Source organism: Homo sapiens, chromosome 8 (genome assembly GCF_000001405.40).
Source record: "Homo sapiens chromosome 8, GRCh38.p14 Primary Assembly".
NCBI classification, from domain to species: Eukaryota; Metazoa; Chordata; class Mammalia; order Primates; family Hominidae; genus Homo; species Homo sapiens.
The window spans coordinates 38429331-38447118 of record NC_000008.11 but is presented as its reverse complement, the minus strand read 5'-3'; the positions used below and the strand labels follow the sequence as shown (position 1 = coordinate 38447118).

The following is a 17788-nucleotide window of genomic DNA, read 5'->3' as shown; positions in this document are numbered from 1 at the left end:
GTGTGTGTGTGTGTGTGTGTTTGCTTGCAGTAATATCTCCTGTGGCATTCTGTAGAGAGGTTACACATCAGTCACAGGTCTGTGAACTGCCTTAATGAACAAGGTTCCCTAGCCTAGAATAATCAATGGAACAAAATCCCCATGGACGCTGCCATTTCCACTGTTGCCAAAGACCTACATGGAGAAGGTTCCCAAGGTGTCAGATCCGACACCTGAGTTTTCTTTATAGGTCACAGTTAGCCTAGAATGTGTGGTATGGGTATTGCCTGGACGCATAAACTAGATTGCTTCTAATATGGATGTGGTCCAACAATCTCTGATGAATGGAAGTAAACATATCAAAAGCTTCAGAGGCTGGGACATTAACATTTTTTTGAGGCTACTAGTGTTTTTTATAAATAATGAAGAAGGGCCAGGCGCAGTGGCTCACACCTGTAATCCCAGCACTTTGGGAGGCCGAGGTGGGCAGATAGAGTGAGCTCAGAAGACCCGCTTGGGCAACATGGCATAAACCCCATCTCTACAAAAAATACAAAAAATTACCTGGGCGTGGTGGTGGGCGCCTGTAATCCCAGCTACTCGGGAGGCTAAGGTAGGAGGATCACCTAGGCCTGGTGTGGTGGGTCACACCTGTAATCCTAGCACTTTTGGGGGCCAAGGTGGGCTGATTGCCTGAGCTCAGGAGTTCGAGACCAGCCTGGGCAACACGGTGAAACCCTGTTTCTACTAAAATACAAAAAACTAGCCGGGTGTGGTGGCGGGCGCCTGTAATCCCAAGTACTCGGGAGGCTGAGGCGGGAGAATCGCTTGAACCAGGGAGTCAGAGGTTGCAATGAGCCGAGATTGTGCCACTGCACTGCAGCCTGGCTACATAGCAAGACTTCCTCTTTAAAAAAAAAAAAAAAAAAAAAAAGGTGGGAGAGGGCTGAGTCAGTTTGCCTTGGAGGCATGGGGGAGGAGAAGGATGTGAACAGGGAAGTGATCTAAGAGCTTCCCTAGGAAGGAAGGACACCCTTTTCCTGGAATGCTCTCCTGCTCTGCCACAGCTTTCAGTCAATTATCACTGCCTTTAGAATGCTTATCAGCACTCCAGCCCTTCAGAAGTGTCCTTCTCCTCCTCTGGTGTCAAACTCCAGAGTTTACTTTTGGAATTAAGGTTTATTTTCCTTAGGTTTTAGGAAGTAGCTTTTGAACCTTAGAAGAGTCAGTTTCCTTTACTAACTACTGAATGAAGTTAGGCATTCAAAACTTGGGTAGTCATGATTTGAAGTGTCACTTGCGGCCAGGCACAGTGGCTCACCTGTAATCCCAGCATTTTGGGAGGTTGAGGCGGGCAGATCACCTGAAGTCAGGAGTTCAAGCCCAGCCTGGCCAACATAGTGTCTCTACTAAAAATATTAAAAAAAAAAAAAAATAACCGGGCGTGATGGCAGGCGCCTGTAATCCCAGCTACTCTGGAGGCTGAGACAGGAGAAGCACTTGAATCCAGGAGGCGGAGGTTGCAGTGAGCCAAGATTGCACCATTGCACTCCAGCCTGGGCAACAGAGTGAGACTCCGTTCCCCAAAAAATGAAATGTCAATTTCATTGAGACTGTATGAATGCCTGACATGCACTTGAAAGTGATGTTTATTTTATAATTTTAGCCCTTCTTCACTACCCCAAACTCCCAGTGCATTTAAAAAATTTATTGGCCTAGCCATTCTCATGGGGTAATATATCATGACCATCAAAAGATGACACTAAAGTGAATCCTCCATGTATAGCTGGGCTTTCTGCCAGCCTTAGATTCTGGAGAAGCACCCCAGGCCAGGGAGAACGGGTGAAGAGGAGAAGCATTTATTGAAGGTGCTGGTAGCCGGAGCCCTGAGACCAACACAGAATCGTTTTTTCTGAAGGACAACTCAAGGACAGTTGAGGGCTCTTCACTTCCCTCACATCAGAGGGAGCTTTGTGCTCACGATGGGCACGGAAAGGGATGCCAGTAAGCGATGCCCCTCTATCATCTCACAAGACCCAGGTGAAACAGGACATTGGTTAGGGCTGGGACAGGGTCAGTCAGCCTTCTCATTTTACAGTGGAGGAAGCTGAGGCTTGAGAGGGGAGGTGACTTGCCTGAGGTCACACAGTAAGTGATCAGCTGTCATCTGAGTGATTTCTTCAGGTACTCTCTCTGGCTGGACCCAGCCAGTGACAACTACCTGTGGCTCAAGCTGAGTTTGGGACTAAATGGTTTTACAAGGACCTCAAAGTATACTCTCTCTCTTCTAGTAGGACATGGGGAATACTGACTTTGCTGAGAGTAAGGGCTCTTTTCCCAGGATTGTTCTAGATCCCCAGATCACTGGAACCCTGAGCATAGATACTAGGCTTTAGCTTCCTGGCTACCACAGAGCCACACACTCTCAGGTAGAAAAATCCCTAAACTGGCTGGGCATGGTGGCTCATGCCAGTAATCCCAGCACTTTTGGAGGCCCAGGCAGGTGGATCACCTGACGTCAGGAGTTCAAGACCAGCCTGGCCAACATGGTAAAACCCTGTCTCTACAAAAAAAAAAAAAAAATTTAGCCACGCGTGGTGGCAAGTGCCTATACTCCCAGCTGCTTGGGGGGCTGAGGTGGGGGGATCACTTGAGCCAGGGAGGTGGAGGCTGCAGTGAGCTGAAATCATGGCACTGTTCTTTAGCCTGGGCTACAGAATGAGACCCTGTCTCAAAGAAAAAAAAAAAAAAACCCGAACCATGTTTTTAATTTCTTAAAACTGAGAGTACTAAATGCTCAACGTTCATGTTGTGTGCATAAAAGTGAGACTGAAGGATGAATGTGTGGGGTATGGATAGATGGGATGTGAATGAAGCAGTCTCTGGGTCCAAGCTCTCCTGGAAATTCGTGGAACAGACCAGTGGTCCCAGATTTTTAGATTTCATAGGCCAGTAAAATTTCCCTCCAGATTTTTGGAACCAACAAAGGATCATCAACTTTTTTGCCAAGTAAGAACGTTTTTAATAAACTAATGCTGCCTGCTACCATTACCACCTGATTCTTTTTTTTTTTTTTTTTTTTTTTTTTGAGACAGTTTCATTCTTGTTGCCCAGGCTGGGGTGCAATGGTGCGATCTCAGCTCACTGCAACCTCCACCTCCTGAGTTCACGCAGTTCTCCTGCCTCAGCCTCCTGAGTAGGTGGGATTACAGGCATTCGCCACCACACCTGGCTCATTTTGTATTTTTAGTAGACACGGGGTTTCTCCATGTTGGTCAGGCTGGTCTCGAACTCCTGACCTCATGTGATCCGCCCACCTCAGCTTCCCAAAGTGCTGGGTTTACAGGCGTGAGCCACCGAGCCCAGCGCCATCTAATTCTTTTGTTGTGGTAAAATATATGTAACATAAAATTAACCATTTTAACTATTTTTATTTTTTTAAGTTAAATTGATTATGTAATGTTTTTGAGACAGGGTCACACTTTGTCACCCAGGCTGGAGTGCAGTGTTGCTATCTCAGCTCACTGCAGCCTCGACCTCCCGGGCTCAAGAGATCCTCCCACCTCAGCCTCCCAAGTAGCTGGGACCACAGGTGCACGCTACCATGCCTGGCTAATTTTGTTTTTCTTTTTTTTTTTTTTTTGTAGAGATGAGGTCTCACTTTGTTGCTCAGGCTGATCTCTAACCCCTGGACTCAAACAATCCTCTCACCTCAGCCTCCCGAAGTATTGGAGTTAAGAGATGTGAGCCACTGTGCCCGGCCAATTTTTAAATTTGTAATTGATGCATAATGGTTATGTATAATCGTCGGGTACGGTATGATGTTTTGATCCACGCACACATTATGTAACGACCAAATCATGGTAATTGCTGTATTGTATCCATCACTTTAAATATTTATCATTTCTTTGTGGTGCATTTTCACCAATTTTAAGTGCACAGTTTTGTAGCATAAAATTTATTCACGCTGTGTAGCCATCACCACCATCCATTTCACCTTCCCTGACACCTTACCTGTTCAACGCTAACTCCCCCTTCTCCCCTCTTCCAGCCCCTTGGTAACCACTATTCTACAGCTTTTCATTTTCAAAGGATGTTTTATTGTCTTTAGTCTCATCGTGTGAAACCTTAAGAGAATTTCTTTACGGTGGAGAAAAAGTAACTTTATGAAGCCCATTCCTTTCTCTACTCTGGAGAGGCTGGTGACCCAGCCCCACCATTGCAGGAATGAGACGGGATTGCGGGGATATGGCAGGCACTTGGGGTGCTGAGAGTCCAGGTGAACTGTGAGCTCAAGCACCCATGTCGGGCTTGGGGGACCAGAAGACACATCCTGAAACAGCTGAAGCCTCTACTAATTCATCAGCAAGTTTAGGGAGCGGCAACTTTTCCCTGCCCAGCTGCTGGCGTTTCCTTCCCCATACAATTTCTGCTGAGTTTGGGGGAGGGGAGGTTGTTCGAGAGGCCCCAGCTGGGAGAGGTGGGGGGAGGGCGATACATTCTTTTCCTTAAGGAACCTGACCGAACTTTAAGGTCAGAGCTCAGTGGAGAGTGGGAGCTGCAGGGTTACCTCTTTGCCGTTGATTCATCTCTCCACCCTCCCCCACTCTTAATGATCTTTCCATTACAGAACCCAGACCAGGAAGTGCATGACAGGTCGCAGCTGCAGACACATGGCTGGGAGGCCTGGGCTCCGGGCCAGTGGTGGGAGAGTCTGAGCTCCCCTCCAGCAGTGGGACCCCTGCACACACACACACACACACACACACACACACACCACTTTAACAACTTGGTGGAAGATGTTCTTTCTTATGCACTGTCACAGGTGATGACGAGTTGGACTTTGCTTTGAGTTTAGGATGTGATTTATATTATAATAAAGGCAGGAGAAGACACTCCCCCTGCCCCGGTCCAACCTGAGTGTTTAGATCCCCCCAACTTACAGTCCACCTAAGTGGTCCTTACCAGATCCTGGGAGCTTTCTATTATCGTGCAGATGCCCCAACTTCTTTTCCCAAAATAGGACCCACCCAATATGGCCTTAGAAGCTTCCCAGGGTATCCGGGGCAGTTGCTAGTCACAGTCTTAATGTCTCCGAAATAGTATGTTTTCCTCTCTATGTTTCTATTAAAATGTCAGCCCCAAAACATGTTTCTGGGTGGAGGTCTAGGTGCAACAGCACAGCCTTTGCAAACACAGATAGACTTGGGTTCAAGTCATAATAGATGAGTTGAGCCTCTCATTTTTCAGTCTTCATTGGGGATGGCTCTTTCCATTTGCAAGTTGTTCAGGAAATGTTAATTGACCCTAAACTGTGTCCTAGGGGGCAGTTGTCACACAGGAGTTTCTGTCTTCACCACCAGCTGTGTCCTTGGCTTCCTTCCCTGAATCTGCCAAGGCTGGATTCTGGTGCTAAATGTGAAATGGTGACACAAACTTCTAGGAACTGTGAGCTTGGACGGCCCTCCTCCATAGCCGCAGGGCATCTACCTTTGCTCTTCTTGGATGAGTGAATGAACTTCCCTCTTTCCAGAGCAATGCTTTCTTCCTGTTTAGATAGGAGGGAGAGAAGCAAAGTGTATTGGGAATAGGTTGAGCGAAAGAGTGTAGTAAGAGTTTTCTGTACAGCTCTGTCCTTAATGTATCAGTAAACAATAGGGTGAGAACTTTTGCTGGGGAGAGAGGAAGGAGGGAAATTTCTTTTCAGACAACTCTTGGGTGCATTCCTTTGTTAATCACTTAATTACAGCCCTTCTCCCAGTGAGGTAGTGAACTCCCCATTGTGAGAGGTAGGGAGGAGGTGGGGGACACTGGTGCTGATTGGAGAAAGGTGGCAAAATCCCTAGGGGAAAAAAGTACAGATTTGAAGGAGGCATCAGATGAATCCGTGCATAGAAGCTTGAGCCCCAAACTCAGTTCTCAGGCTGCGTTATCCTTTACGACACCCAGAGTCCCTCTGTCTTTTAAGATCCACACACAACTCTCCAGGCCAATAGCTCTTGGCGCCTGCGATTCCCAAGTGGGATTCTACACGTGTCTTGCTGCCCAGCTCGGGGGGATCTGTTTTTGGGGGGTCTCGGGGCGGGTGCAGGGTCCTGGCTGTGGCTTTGGCTAGTGCAGGCGGCTCGGCACTAAATTACAGTGACGAGGTGGGACGCACAAAAGGCCGAAATCTTTTTTTAATAAAAACAAAACAAAACTCTGGGCCCCAAGCCCCTGGGCTGCTGAATGGCCATGGCTTCCTGTCAGGATTAGCCGGGCTGCCTGGGCCTGTGTGCTCGGCCTTTCTCCTCAGGAAATACCTTTAGTAAGCCCCGGTGGGGTCCCCATGGCAACGCACGGGGGGACCTGCTGGCAGAGGCCATTCAGTCTGCCATTGTCCCCCGGCCCCTTTGTTGTGAGCTTTATTGCCGGCCCTCTGGCAAACACAGCAGTTTGCACCGTTTTGTCAGGCTGAATGTGGAGTTTTTACATTTTAATGGGCTCTTCTGGCAGTGGCCCATTTGCATGCAAAATGTCCCCTCTTACTCTTTTCACTTTCTTCAATTTAAAAAAAAAAAAAAAGCCCTTCTCCAAATCCCCTGGGTCGGGGGGCTGGTGGACGCCATTGGCCCTGGGTGTCAGGCCCTGCTAATTGATTTGGTGCTCCCGGCTCTCTTTCCACACATACCTGTGCCCCCCATTTTTGCAGCTCTCCTTCTATTTGGGGACTCCGAGAGTTGAGAGAAACACATTTTTGGGGCTCTCTCCACCCAAACCCTTGTAGGATGGCAGCTGTGACCCGGGATTTCGGTGAGATGCTTCTGCACTCTGGCCGGGTCCTGCCAGCCGAAGGTAAGTTTTCAGTTCCATTTCAAAGCCAAAATACGTAATAAAAAAACCTCTGCAGAGGGCCCCCGGAGCCCCGCTGCGCTGTTCTGTGCTCCTTTTAAGTTGCTTTCAAAGCCACCCCGAGTTCCTCCCCCACCCACAATTGCCCCCTCATTTATCTCTGGGGAGTTTATACCAAGACTGTAAACATTCCTGGACCACCAGTTTCCCCCATGTTGCTGAGGAGTTTAGCCTTTCTCTCCTAATTTTCTTAACTCAGAAATCAAAAAGATGGAATAGGGATGATAGAAATTGCTACCCTGAGACATCATGCTCATGGAGGATGCCTGGATTTTGTTGGGGGCCAGTTATCCAAGCCCTAAGCCCTTTGGAGTGTAGAACGTAGAGTAGGTAATACAAATACCTACTGTCAGCCCAGCACCCCAGCAACATGAGTAAGTGCAAGACACAGGCATGAACATTTTCAGCTCTAGGGAAAGGCACATTCATGTTGGGGAGAGGTGGAGAATGCAGTTTGGCCAGTCTCAGAAGAGTGAGTTTTAAGGCCTAGGAAAGTGATGGAGATGATTGCTTGTTGGAGAGAGAGAAGGAGAAAGGCATTTAGGGGAAGAAAAGGAAAATGAAAGGAGCAGTGAGGATATTGGCTCCACTGGGGAGGTGGAACTGGGGTAGTGGCCGAACCAGGGGTGGGAGAGGACGTGGTTGAGAGGCTCCAGACCAGCTGGGGCTGTCATGGAGTGTTGGGGGTCTGGAGCAGTCAGGACTTGAAAGCCGGGACCCTTGTGAGCCCTGTGCAGTCCTGAGGATGTGGCCCAAGGGGGAGGGCGGACCAGCTCTTTTGCCTCGTGTTCTTAATCTTCTCAGTGGGTCATCAGGGGTCATCAGCTGTAAGCTGTAATCAACGGTGAGGGGCTCGAGAAGAGAAGGTGTCAGGTGACTGCTGGGGATTGAGCTGAGGACAGGAGAGGCAGGGTGCTGTCTCCTGTGGCCCAGGCAGAGCGGCACAGACCTGGAGTGGGCCACCCCTCATCACCCCATGTGCTGCGACAGTGCTGGCTGGACTGAACCCTGGAAGAGTACCTGGACACAGTGGAGGGGCCAGGACCCAGCAGATGCAGCCTCTAGAGCTTGTCCCTGTTTTGTGACTTTGGGAGCCATTTTTCCATGTTTAAATGGGAAGGAACACAAGTCACCTGGTCACAAGGAAGCAGGCCCTATGAAATATTAAGTGCAATGCCAAAACAGGGCATTGTTACTGGTCTTGAGTCTGCCACAATCACAATGAACACCTCCCCCATTTTCTCACCTGCCACATTTGGACAGCCGAGCCTGCTGGACTCGCAGGGGCAGGAGAGTGCATTTTATAATTAAAAGCACTCAACTGTAAGGTAATGATTGATATGAGCTATGGGCTTGAGGAAATGAGGGAAGGAGGGGAGGATAAGGCCAAAGCAACCAACTTCAGAATCTCACGGGAGGAGGTAGGATGCAGGGGGTGCCATTAGACAGAATCAAAGGGCTGAACCAGAAGGGCTTCCTCACCTGGGGAAGTCAAGACACTGTGAAGATTGAGGCTGCCTTGCACAGCGGTAAAGCTGGACTCTGGATGTATGATGTATGTGGATTCTGGAGAACCAGGCTACCTGTGTTTGAATCCCAGCTCTGCCACTTAACAACCTAGCTGGGCCATCTTGGACTAATCCCAAATCTTTCTGTGCCCCAGTTTCCCCCTCTGAAGATAATAATTCCTTTTTTTTTTTTTTTTTGAGACGGAGTCTGGGTCTGTCACCCAGGCTGGAGTGCAGTGGTGTGATTTCGGTTCACTGCAACCTCTGCCTCCTAGGTTCAAGTGATTCTCCTGCCTCAGCCTCCTCAGTAGCTGGGATTACAGGCGTGCATCACCACGCCTGGCTAATTTTTTGTATTTTTAGTAGAAATAGGGTTTCACCATGTTGGCCAGGCTGGTCTCAAACTCCTGATCTCAGGTGATCCACCCACTTCGGCCTCCCAAAGTGCTAGGATTACAGGCATTAGCCACTGCACTGGGCCCGAAGATAATAATTCTAACTCTTAAATACTTCACAAGATTCTAAGTTAACACATGCTGAGAACTATGCTGGTATGTAGTAAGCCTCCGCATCCATAGGATAGAAATCATAGTAGGATCAACCTCATAAGTTTCCTATGAGGATGAAATGGGAGGGTCTGTGTTAAAAGCTTTGTGCAGCCTATGGGATATAGTGAGCGTGCTGGAAATATTGGCCAGTAGTAGTATTGCTGTTTACTCAGATGTTTATGGATCCCTAGATAATATATGGGAAGGCACATGGTAAATTACAAAGTGCTATGCAAATGTGTTGTTATTCTTCACTGGGTTCCTGTTAAGTTGTGGGGTTTGGGGATGGATAACTTCCAGACCAGAGTGGCTGCTGTGGGACCGGGCTGGTGAAGCGGTATTTCAAAATACATTTTCAGGTGTGTTTGTCCATGTGGCATGAATGCCCTGCATTCATAGTCTCTGCAGAGAGGTGTGTTCCCTGGGATATCTTTGGTGGCTCTGTTCTATCCCTCAACTTACAAATTGAAATCATTATTTGTTACTGTTTTCTCCCATGAACCTTCTGTTCCTGGCCAGCTGTACAGCCTGGCCTCATCTCCCACTGCCCCTCAGACCAGGGTACAGCCATGCCTGTAAGCACTTCATTCTCTTCTGTTCCCCCCAGACATTTCACTTCTCATCTAAATCCTCTCTTTTCCCTTCCCCGTCATTTTGTCCAACCTCTGCTCTCACTGCTGATACTTTTCTTTATGTTTCATGACGTCAGAGCCTGTGCTAGACCTGCCTGTACTTGGTCCTGACATTCTCCATTTGTCTCATGTTGCAGTATAAAATCTTAATCCATATTAAGGTGCTGTGCAAATCTGAGCACCCCTGTTAGGGCAAGACATATGCCTTCTGGGCCTTTGTTTCACCCATTTCTCCTTGCACAGTGACAAGGGCTCCCAGAGTCACCTAATGGTAGCTATGTTGATGAAAGTTCCCTGACTCCTCCTTGGATTTTTGAGAACTGGGGTCTCATCTTGTCATAAGAATAGCAAGGTTTGTATGGGTTTGGGTCTCTGATGGTTCCCATGACTGGTGGAAGACACAGATTTAGAATCAAGAATTGGGAGGCCGAGGTGGGTGGATCACTTAAGTTCAGGAGTTCAAGACCAGCCTGGCCAACATGGCAAAACTCCATCTCTACTAAAAATACAAAATTAGCCGGGCGTGGTGGCGCTTGTCTATAGTCCCAGCTACTCGGGACTGAGGCACGAGAATCACTTGAACCTGGGAGGCGGAAGTTGCAGTGAGCCAAGATCCCAGAACTGCCTTCTAAATGACTGTGGGAGATTTTTGTCCAGTCCTGCTAGAAGCAAAATGCTGTACCTGTTGGCTTGTTGGAAGTACAAGCCTGCAGTATTTGGGGGGAAAGTAGGAAGGGAAGAGGGATTCAGTAGGGCCTCATTATCATTAATCGTGTTCCTGAACTTGAAAGCACCATGGGAAAATCCCCTCCCACCCCTGCCTCTGTCCTTTCTAGCTGCTTCCTTGAGGATTATCAAAAAGTGTGGGTCTCCGGTGGGCTCCTAATTCCTTCTTAGGGGATAGAGACACCTTAGAGAAGCAGGGTAGGTTTGATGTATGAATCCTTGTCACTCGCACTAAAAGGAGCACTGGTTGCAGCCTGCACAAATTCCCAAGGTCCACCCGCCAGCTGCTTTGACCCAGGAACCTGCGTGGTAATGAGATCAGCAGCCTGAGTTCTCGAACGATGTTCAAGGCAAACCCTAACCCTGACCTTCCCACTCCTGTTGATGAGAACGGTGACTCCATTCTATTGGCATCAAAGCATAAGGCCCCTTTTTTTTCACAATGCACTTTTTTTGTTGTTGTTGAGACAGTGTCTCTGTTGCCCAGGCTGGAGTGCAGTGGCAAGATTATAGCTCCTGCAGCCTTGAGTTCCTGGGCTCAAGGGATCCTCCCTCCTCTGCCTCCCAAGTGCCTGGGGACTACAGGCATGCACCACTATGCCTGGCTAATTTTTTTATTTTTCGCAGAGACAGGGTCTCACTATGTTGCCAGGGCTGGTTTTGAACTCCTGGCCTCAAGCAGTCCTCCCACCTTGGCCTCCCAAAGGGCTGGGATTACAGGCATGAGCCACTGCACCCAGTCCGCAATGCACTGTTAACACATGGCACCTAGAGCCTGTAATAGTGAACAGCCAGTCTTTTTCAGCCTCAGGCTAGGTCACCAGGGAATCCAGATACCAGATGCCCTCCAGCCTCCATTCCCCACCTCATCTCTCAGGAAACAGATGCACAAAGCAAGTGTTTTGGTGCTGCTTCCCTCACAGCATCCCCATGTGCATTTTGAGGACAACCTTTGTATCTGATTCCAATTAATCAGGTTCTCCAGGAGTTGGAATGTTGGTTTCAAGTGACTGAACAATAAAGTGGCTTTCTTCATCTTTCTTGGCCAGTCCAATAAAAGTGTCAGGTAGCTTTTCTCTTGCTAATGGACACCTAACGACACCCTGGCCTGTTGGTCTTGACCAGAGAAAGGCCAGCTCAGGGCAGCTGGAGCTGAAGAGGCAAGGACCTTTCTAATGAGGACATAAGTGAGGGACACTGGAAAGACCAAAAGAGAATGGAAAGTACTGACATGGTAGTTGCAGGGTGCTAGTGAGCAGTCATGCCCCCAAATCAGCCACCTTACATAGAACTCCCCAAGTTCAGGGCCACTGGATGGGGTTGTGACGCAGTCAAGCAGGGCCCAGAAAGCATACAAGCAGTTGGTTTCATCTCCTGTAAGAAAGTGGCATCATCCCTGCTTTGTAAACGGAGAACCTGACACACACCAAGAGCACTCCTAGCCGTGGAAAAAAGCCGCTAGAACCCGAGGTTAGTCTGATTTTTGGTTCCTCTGAAAATTAGCTTTTGCTGGATGCTAGATTCAGTTCTGGACTTACTGAGTAGTCTCTGGGTTTTTGACATTGTTAGGCACTGTGGGAAAATTATAACAGGTACGTCTGCGCTGAGTTGCTTGCTAATTCCTAGGAGAGACTTGGACATTTTGGACAATTAAGAAGCAATACAGGCCAGGCACGGTGGCTCACGTCTGTAATCCCAGCACTTTGGGAGGCTGAGGCGGGTGGCTCATCTGAGGTCAGGAGTTCGAGACCAGCCTGACCAGCATGGTGAAACCCCATCTCTACTAAAAATACAAAATTAGCCAGGCGTGGTGGCACATGCCTGTAATAATCCCAGCTACTCGGGAGGCTGAGGCAGGAGAATTGCTTGAACTGGGGAGGCAAAGGTTGCAGTGATCCGAGATCACGCCATTGCACTCCAGCCTGGGCAACAAGAGTGAAATTCTGTCTCAAAAAAACAAACAAACAAAAAGAAGCAATACAGCTCTTTGAGAAAGATGCAGTCATAAGTGGTGCAGAGTTGCAGTCTGCCCATTCCTGCTCCTCACTCATCGCTGTTCCGAACAAGTCAGCCAGGAAGCCGCACTGCACCAAGGCTTTTAAAGATACCAGAAAACACCTGTGAAGCTGGAGGTGACCATTCACCAAATTCGAATCCCTCTAATGATCCGCAGCGTAAAATCCCTGGAGAAGGTGTGTGCTGACTTGATTCAGAGGAGGAAAGGAAAAGAATGTCTAAGTGAAGGGACCAGTTTGAATGCCTGCCAAGACTTTGAGAATCACTATAAGAAAATCTCCTTGTGGTGAAGGTTCAGAGACATGGGATCGTTTCCAGATGAGAATCCACAAGCTACCCACTGACTTGCACAGTCCTTCTGAGATTGTTAAGCAGTTGACTTCCATCAGTGTTGAGCCAGGAATTGAGGTGGAAGTCACCATTGCAGATGCTCAAAGTCAACTATTTTAATAAACTGATTAGCGGTTGTTATAAAAAAAAAAAAAAAAAGCAGCAGCAATATGGGTTGAGCGCAGCGGCTCACACCTGTAATCCCAACACTTTGGGAGGTCAAGGTGGGTGGGTTGCTTGAGTCCAGGAGTTCAAGACCAGCCTGGGCAACATTTGAAATTTTAACTTATTTTTTAAAAAAGAAAGAAACATTATACCCAATATCTGTCAATTGATGACTGCAATGTGGTATGTCTACACAATTGAATATTATTAGGTCATTAAAAGGAACAAAGTGCTGATTCTATGCTATAACATGGAGGAAGTTTGAACACATGCTAAGTGAAAGAAGCCAGTCACAAAAGATCACATATTGTATGATTCCATTGATATGAAATATCTAGAATAGCCAAATCCATAGACAGAAAGCAGATTAGTGGTTGCTTAGACTGGGGATAGGGGATGGAGGAGTGACTACTATGGGTCAGGCATTTTTTGAGGGGCGAGGGATGGTAAAAATGTTCTAAAGTGAGATTGTGGTGAATGATTGCACAACTCTGAATATACAAAAACCATTAAATGGATGAATATTACAGCATGTGAATTACCTGTCTGCTGTTTAAATAAAATAGAAACAATACAAAATGGAATGTAATTGAGTGTGAATTTGTGTGATTCAGGCGGTAACTGTTTTACAGAAAATTAGAGATGAGACATTGATATAAACAAGGCTTCCTAGTTTCTTGTTTTGTTTTAAGACAGGGTCTGGCTGGGTGCGGTGGCTCACACCTGTAATCCCAGCACTTGCTAACTGAAGATGCAAGGACCGAGGCGGGCAGATCACTTAAGGTCTGGAGTTCAAGGACAGCCTGGCTAACATGGTGAAACCCCATCTCTACTAAAATGCAAAAATAAGCCAGCCATTGTGGCATATGCCTGTAGTCCCAGCTGCTCCAGAGGCTGAAGTGGGAAAATGGCTTGAACCTGGGAGGCAGAAGTTGCAGCAAGCCAAGATTGTGCCACTGCACTCCAGACTGGGCAACAAAGCAACTCTGTCTTAAAAAAAAAAAAGGGTCTTTGTCATCCCGTCCAGTGGCATGATCATAGCTCACCGTAGCCTCCAACTCCTGGGCTCAAGCAATCCTGTCTCAGCCCACTGAGTAGCTGGGACTACAGGCATGTGCCACCAAGTCTGGCTAGTTTTTAAATTTTTTTGTAGAGACGAGGTCTCACTATGTTGCCTAGGCTGGTCTTGAACTCCTGGGCTCAAATGAGCCTCCTGCCTCAGCCTCCCCAAGTGCTGGGATTGCAGGCATAAGCCACTGCACCCAGCCCCTGGACGTTTTGGATGGTGGACTTTGAGTAGTTTGGGGTAGGAGGACTCTGGAGTGGCGCTGACAGTCCTCAGGAAGGAGTAAGCTTTGCCATGCCAGGGAGGATGCAGCCGTGCTGAAAGCATCCCAACTGGGGAGGGGGGGGGGCGCGGTGGGGAGGGACAGCCCCTGGTAGAGAGAATGGGGCTGGGTGGAGAGAGTGGAAGCCAATTGCAGGGAGTCTTGAAGGTGAGGCAGGGATGTGGATTTTACTCTGTACACAGGGTAGATTTTGATCAGGAAAATAATGTCAAGCACATGACAGCTTGGAAGCAGGAGTCTGAGCTGCAGCCCCAGGGAGGCCATTTAAAAGATTATCCCGGCTGGGCGCCATGGCTCATGCCAGCACTTTGGGAGGCCGAGGCAGGCAGATCACGAGGTCAGGAGCTTTAGACCAGCCTGACCAACATTCCCCTTCTCTACTAAAAATACAAAAATTAGCTGGGCATGGTGGCGCATGCCTGTAATCCCAGCAACTCAGGAGGCTGAGGCAGGAGAATCACTTGAACCCGGGAGGCAGAGGTTGCAGTGAGCCGAGATCGCAGCACTTCACTCCAGCCTGGGCGAAAGAGCAAAACTCCATCTCAAAAAAAAAAAAAAAAAAAATTTATCCCGAGATGGTTCCGGTAAAGGGATAGGACAGAGCATACCTGAGCCACGTTTGGAAGGGAACCGGGGTCTAAACTTGCATCAGGAGGAAAGCGAGCTGGTTCTTGAGGCTTTTACAGATCACGTATAGTGGAGTTTTGTTTGCACGTTCTGGTTGGGACGGGCAGGAAGTTACGGATCCAAGCTGGTATCAGCTAGAGCGGGTCTCACCAGGGCCAGTGTTCCTTTGCTGCATTCTCTTGGGGGGAAATAAATGCCTGGGGGTTCTCTTTGCTACATTTTTGTCTTTGGGAGCTGCTTTTTTCTCTGGGATCGGCTGCAATAGGCCTTGTGATGCCAGAGGGTAAGAATTCAAGTTTACTCTTGACCAATGGGTTGCACAGATCACAAGCTGCAAAATATTTAATCACCGAGGTCATTTGAGGGAAATGAGATTTGATCAATAGAAGTGTCTGCTCTGTTCCTTAAGAGTTGAGTCTAAACTGCTTTTCTCCTTACCTTCGTTTGGCAAAACCACAGACCATTAAAAATGGAAAGAATAACTTTTTCTAAGGCCCACAAAAGCTTATTTTTAATCAGTTGTGTGGTCTACTCACCTTTGTGGTGTTCCCCTTGACCGGACTCACAAAAATAAACGTGTGCAAGCCTAGTGGTTTCTGAGCCCTTTTAAAGCAGTACCCCTGTTTCTGACAACTCTTATTTAAGATAAAGCCCATGGGTCAATGCAGGACTGGGTCTGCAACCTTGGCCCCCCCAAGAGAAACCACTGTCAGTCCCTGTCAGTTGCTGATCATGATGCGCGGGACACCCATTTTCATTTTTAAGGTTTCTAGCGGAAGCCTGTTGAGCACTTGAGGAAGACCGTGTTTCAAATAAGGGGGAGTGAAAGAGAAAAGGGAGAGTAGAAAGGAAGGCAGTGAAGAGCCAGAGTGACTGCACGTGTGGTATTTATTGAGCAAGCATTTCTTGAGCAACTCCTGGGCGCCAGGCATCGTAGTAGGTGCTGGGGATTTAAAGGTACCGATGACACATCACCGCACTCAGGTTCAGAAAGAGGACTGCCCTTCAGTGTGACAGGTGCCAGGAGGGGGAGGGCACCTAACCCAGACTGGGAGTCAGCACCGCCCTGGAGGAGAAGTCACCAGCTAGGCTGAGACAGAAGAGTGAGTAGTGAGAGCTGGACAGAAAAAAATCAGGGGCCCTGTGGCCACTGGGGCAGCCGTGAGCCACAGCAGGGGCTGAGGGAGAACATGCTGTTTCAGAGCCTTATGCATCGGGGAGCGGCAGTCGCTCCACTGAGTCTCTTAGGGTGAACAAATGGTGAGAAAAGTCCTCTCCAAGGCTGTGGGCGGGATGTGGGTGGTAGGTGAGAGGTGGAAGATGCCAGGAGTACATTTGAACATCCTAAAAGGAAATAGAAAGTTCATTTCCCCTCGTGAGTGCAGAGGGGTGTGCTCAGGAGATGGGTAACAGCCCAGGATGGTGAACTCAGGTGTGTCCGGGCCACGGGCCTTCTTGAACGCGTGCGGGAAGAGGCACTGGTCAGGGGAGGGACAGGTGCTCTTGGTGGTATCAGATCTTGTGAGGTGCAGACACCCCGGTGGGTCCAGTGCTCCCACCCAGGGACAGAGAAGGATGGGGCACGGGGAGGGAGAGTGGATGGTGGGGGGCCTGAGGGTGTGCCCAGTCAGAGGGCTGAGGAGAAAGGACCTTTGTGTGCGACAGCTCCTGCTGCCAGAGCAAGTGTGGGTTTTATGGCAGCTGTGGCCTCCCGTCCTAATATAGTCAACAGCTCCAAATCCCCTGCCCTGACACCTGTTAGCGAGAGGTTCCCTGAGCTGACCTCTCCTTGGGCTGCCCCCCCAGCATGTGCATCTGACGCGTCGAGGGCCAGACCCCCACCCTCTCCGAATCACACGCATCCTGGTCAGCCCCCAGTTGACAAATTGCCTTCTCTCGACTTGGGCAGGGGCTGCTGGGGTTTTGAGGGGCGGGGTTTGTTCAGCTGTTGCTAGGGAAGGGTGAGGCTGAGCTATCCCAAAGGAAATGGGGTGTTCCTCTGGCAAGTGGCAATCTTGGCAAAGAACTGAGCATCTGGGGAGGGGGCAACTCCGGACACAAAGAAGTCCTGGGGAGGGCCGACCTTTCCCCTTAGGATGGGGGAAATGAAATGCGCTTAATGCTGCTACAGCTGCTTCCTAACTTTGCCTCTTTCTTCCTTTGACTTTTGGAGGAGTGGGGTGGAAAAGAGATGGGGGTTCCCAGGCAGCCAGCTGTTTTCCCCACTGACCCATGCTCCAATTCCCACTGCCCTGGCTCAGTAGCCTCCAGTAAGTGATGCCCAGGATGGTGCGGCTCCGTGTGGCCAGCGTAATTCCCTTTGTCTCTCCCCTCCTCCCCTCTCCCTGTCTTCCTCTCTCGCCCCTTGGCTTCCCTTCCCGGCCCCGTGGTGGCTGCAGCCCAGCCCTGGGGAGCCCCTGTGGAAGTGGAGTCCTTCCTGGTCCACCCCGGTGACCTGCTGCAGCTTCGCTGTCGGCTGCGGGACGATGTGCAGAGCATCAACTGGCTGCGGGACGGGGTGCAGCTGGCGGAAAGCAACCGCACCCGCATCACAGGGGAGGAGGTGGAGGTGCAGGACTCCGTGCCCGCAGACTCCGGCCTCTATGCTTGCGTAACCAGCAGCCCCTCGGGCAGTGACACCACCTACTTCTCCGTCAATGTTTCAGGTTGGTAGCCAAGCCCTGCCCTTGCCCCTCCCTAGACCCACCCCCTCCAGCCCTCTCTGCCAGTTTCAGAGGAAGGTGAACCTCCTCCCCCTCCGTGATCTGCCCCCACTCTGCTTCAGAAACTGCTGCCCACTAACATTGCTCCCTGCCTGCCGCGTGGCTTGGCTCTCAGAGAGGTGACTAGGTGGGGTGGGCCCCAGGGCCGGAGATCTGGGGCTTCCAGGACACACCTCGGAGGTGATTGCCAGGGCTCTTGGGATGTTAAGACCCTGTGATTTTTTTCCACCACAGCTTGCCCAGATCTCCAGGAGGCTAAGTGGTGCTCGGCCAGCTTCCACTCCATCACTCCCT

At 49.4% G+C, this 17788-nt stretch overlaps 1 protein-coding gene and 1 pseudogene across 14 annotated transcripts in view, besides 15 other annotated features; both read left to right on the top strand.

Moving 5' to 3' along the window:
* Positions 1-17788, top strand: part of FGFR1 (fibroblast growth factor receptor 1) — a 57493-nt gene that overhangs the window by 21517 nt on the left and 18188 nt on the right. For 8 of the 14 annotated variants that reach the window (NM_001354367.2, NM_015850.4, NM_001174063.2 and 5 more), the window contains one exon: positions 17171-17437. The exons of 5 other annotated variants lie outside the window; for them this stretch is intronic. In NM_001354367.2, coding sequence (NP_001341296.1) covers positions 17171-17437 — 267 coding nt within the window. Of the gene's footprint in view, positions 1-6745; positions 6814-17170; positions 17438-17788 lie in introns of all 14 variants that reach the window. One more of the 14 variants, NM_001174064.2, reaches the window with a different exon arrangement.
* Positions 186-732: an enhancer, noted in NCBI's record as "OCT4-H3K27ac-H3K4me1 hESC enhancer chr8:38303905-38304451 (GRCh37/hg19 assembly coordinates)". NCBI's record gives its function as "activates a minimal SCP1, AML or CMV promoter by ChIP-STARR-seq in primed H9 embryonic stem cells {active_cell/tissue: H9 hESC(primed)}" and the evidence as "EXISTENCE:reporter gene assay evidence [ECO:0000049][PMID:30033119]".
* Positions 733-1280: an enhancer, noted in NCBI's record as "OCT4-NANOG-H3K27ac-H3K4me1 hESC enhancer chr8:38303357-38303904 (GRCh37/hg19 assembly coordinates)". NCBI's record gives its function as "activates a minimal SCP1, AML or CMV promoter by ChIP-STARR-seq in primed H9 embryonic stem cells {active_cell/tissue: H9 hESC(primed)}" and the evidence as "EXISTENCE:reporter gene assay evidence [ECO:0000049][PMID:30033119]".
* Positions 2737-3526: an enhancer, noted in NCBI's record as "H3K27ac hESC enhancer chr8:38301111-38301900 (GRCh37/hg19 assembly coordinates)". NCBI's record gives its function as "activates a minimal SCP1, AML or CMV promoter by ChIP-STARR-seq in naive and primed H9 embryonic stem cells {active_cell/tissue: H9 hESC(naive and primed)}" and the evidence as "EXISTENCE:reporter gene assay evidence [ECO:0000049][PMID:30033119]".
* Positions 3527-4317: an enhancer, noted in NCBI's record as "OCT4-NANOG-H3K27ac-H3K4me1 hESC enhancer chr8:38300320-38301110 (GRCh37/hg19 assembly coordinates)". NCBI's record gives its function as "activates a minimal SCP1, AML or CMV promoter by ChIP-STARR-seq in primed H9 embryonic stem cells {active_cell/tissue: H9 hESC(primed)}" and the evidence as "EXISTENCE:reporter gene assay evidence [ECO:0000049][PMID:30033119]".
* Positions 4318-5108: an enhancer, noted in NCBI's record as "OCT4-NANOG-H3K27ac-H3K4me1 hESC enhancer chr8:38299529-38300319 (GRCh37/hg19 assembly coordinates)". NCBI's record gives its function as "activates a minimal SCP1, AML or CMV promoter by ChIP-STARR-seq in naive H9 embryonic stem cells {active_cell/tissue: H9 hESC(naive)}" and the evidence as "EXISTENCE:reporter gene assay evidence [ECO:0000049][PMID:30033119]".
* Positions 5109-5899: an enhancer, noted in NCBI's record as "NANOG-H3K27ac-H3K4me1 hESC enhancer chr8:38298738-38299528 (GRCh37/hg19 assembly coordinates)". NCBI's record gives its function as "activates a minimal SCP1, AML or CMV promoter by ChIP-STARR-seq in primed H9 embryonic stem cells {active_cell/tissue: H9 hESC(primed)}" and the evidence as "EXISTENCE:reporter gene assay evidence [ECO:0000049][PMID:30033119]".
* Positions 5900-6689: an enhancer, noted in NCBI's record as "OCT4-NANOG-H3K27ac-H3K4me1 hESC enhancer chr8:38297948-38298737 (GRCh37/hg19 assembly coordinates)". NCBI's record gives its function as "activates a minimal SCP1, AML or CMV promoter by ChIP-STARR-seq in naive and primed H9 embryonic stem cells {active_cell/tissue: H9 hESC(naive and primed)}" and the evidence as "EXISTENCE:reporter gene assay evidence [ECO:0000049][PMID:30033119]".
* Positions 7481-8271: an enhancer, noted in NCBI's record as "OCT4-NANOG-H3K27ac-H3K4me1 hESC enhancer chr8:38296366-38297156 (GRCh37/hg19 assembly coordinates)". NCBI's record gives its function as "activates a minimal SCP1, AML or CMV promoter by ChIP-STARR-seq in naive H9 embryonic stem cells {active_cell/tissue: H9 hESC(naive)}" and the evidence as "EXISTENCE:reporter gene assay evidence [ECO:0000049][PMID:30033119]".
* Positions 9583-10084: an enhancer, noted in NCBI's record as "OCT4 hESC enhancer chr8:38294553-38295054 (GRCh37/hg19 assembly coordinates)". NCBI's record gives its function as "activates a minimal SCP1, AML or CMV promoter by ChIP-STARR-seq in primed H9 embryonic stem cells {active_cell/tissue: H9 hESC(primed)}" and the evidence as "EXISTENCE:reporter gene assay evidence [ECO:0000049][PMID:30033119]".
* Positions 10984-11490: an enhancer, noted in NCBI's record as "OCT4-H3K27ac hESC enhancer chr8:38293147-38293653 (GRCh37/hg19 assembly coordinates)". NCBI's record gives its function as "activates a minimal SCP1, AML or CMV promoter by ChIP-STARR-seq in primed H9 embryonic stem cells {active_cell/tissue: H9 hESC(primed)}" and the evidence as "EXISTENCE:reporter gene assay evidence [ECO:0000049][PMID:30033119]".
* Positions 11491-11996: an enhancer, noted in NCBI's record as "OCT4-H3K27ac hESC enhancer chr8:38292641-38293146 (GRCh37/hg19 assembly coordinates)". NCBI's record gives its function as "activates a minimal SCP1, AML or CMV promoter by ChIP-STARR-seq in primed H9 embryonic stem cells {active_cell/tissue: H9 hESC(primed)}" and the evidence as "EXISTENCE:reporter gene assay evidence [ECO:0000049][PMID:30033119]".
* Positions 11997-12504: an enhancer, noted in NCBI's record as "OCT4-H3K27ac hESC enhancer chr8:38292133-38292640 (GRCh37/hg19 assembly coordinates)". NCBI's record gives its function as "activates a minimal SCP1, AML or CMV promoter by ChIP-STARR-seq in primed H9 embryonic stem cells {active_cell/tissue: H9 hESC(primed)}" and the evidence as "EXISTENCE:reporter gene assay evidence [ECO:0000049][PMID:30033119]".
* Positions 12268-12771, top strand: RPS20P22 (ribosomal protein S20 pseudogene 22; annotated as a pseudogene).
* Positions 13999-14675: an enhancer, noted in NCBI's record as "OCT4-H3K27ac-H3K4me1 hESC enhancer chr8:38289962-38290638 (GRCh37/hg19 assembly coordinates)". NCBI's record gives its function as "activates a minimal SCP1, AML or CMV promoter by ChIP-STARR-seq in primed H9 embryonic stem cells {active_cell/tissue: H9 hESC(primed)}" and the evidence as "EXISTENCE:reporter gene assay evidence [ECO:0000049][PMID:30033119]".
* Positions 14676-15353: an enhancer, noted in NCBI's record as "OCT4-H3K27ac-H3K4me1 hESC enhancer chr8:38289284-38289961 (GRCh37/hg19 assembly coordinates)". NCBI's record gives its function as "activates a minimal SCP1, AML or CMV promoter by ChIP-STARR-seq in primed H9 embryonic stem cells {active_cell/tissue: H9 hESC(primed)}" and the evidence as "EXISTENCE:reporter gene assay evidence [ECO:0000049][PMID:30033119]".
* Positions 16457-17454: an enhancer, noted in NCBI's record as "H3K27ac-H3K4me1 hESC enhancer chr8:38287183-38288180 (GRCh37/hg19 assembly coordinates)". NCBI's record gives its function as "activates a minimal SCP1, AML or CMV promoter by ChIP-STARR-seq in naive H9 embryonic stem cells {active_cell/tissue: H9 hESC(naive)}" and the evidence as "EXISTENCE:reporter gene assay evidence [ECO:0000049][PMID:30033119]".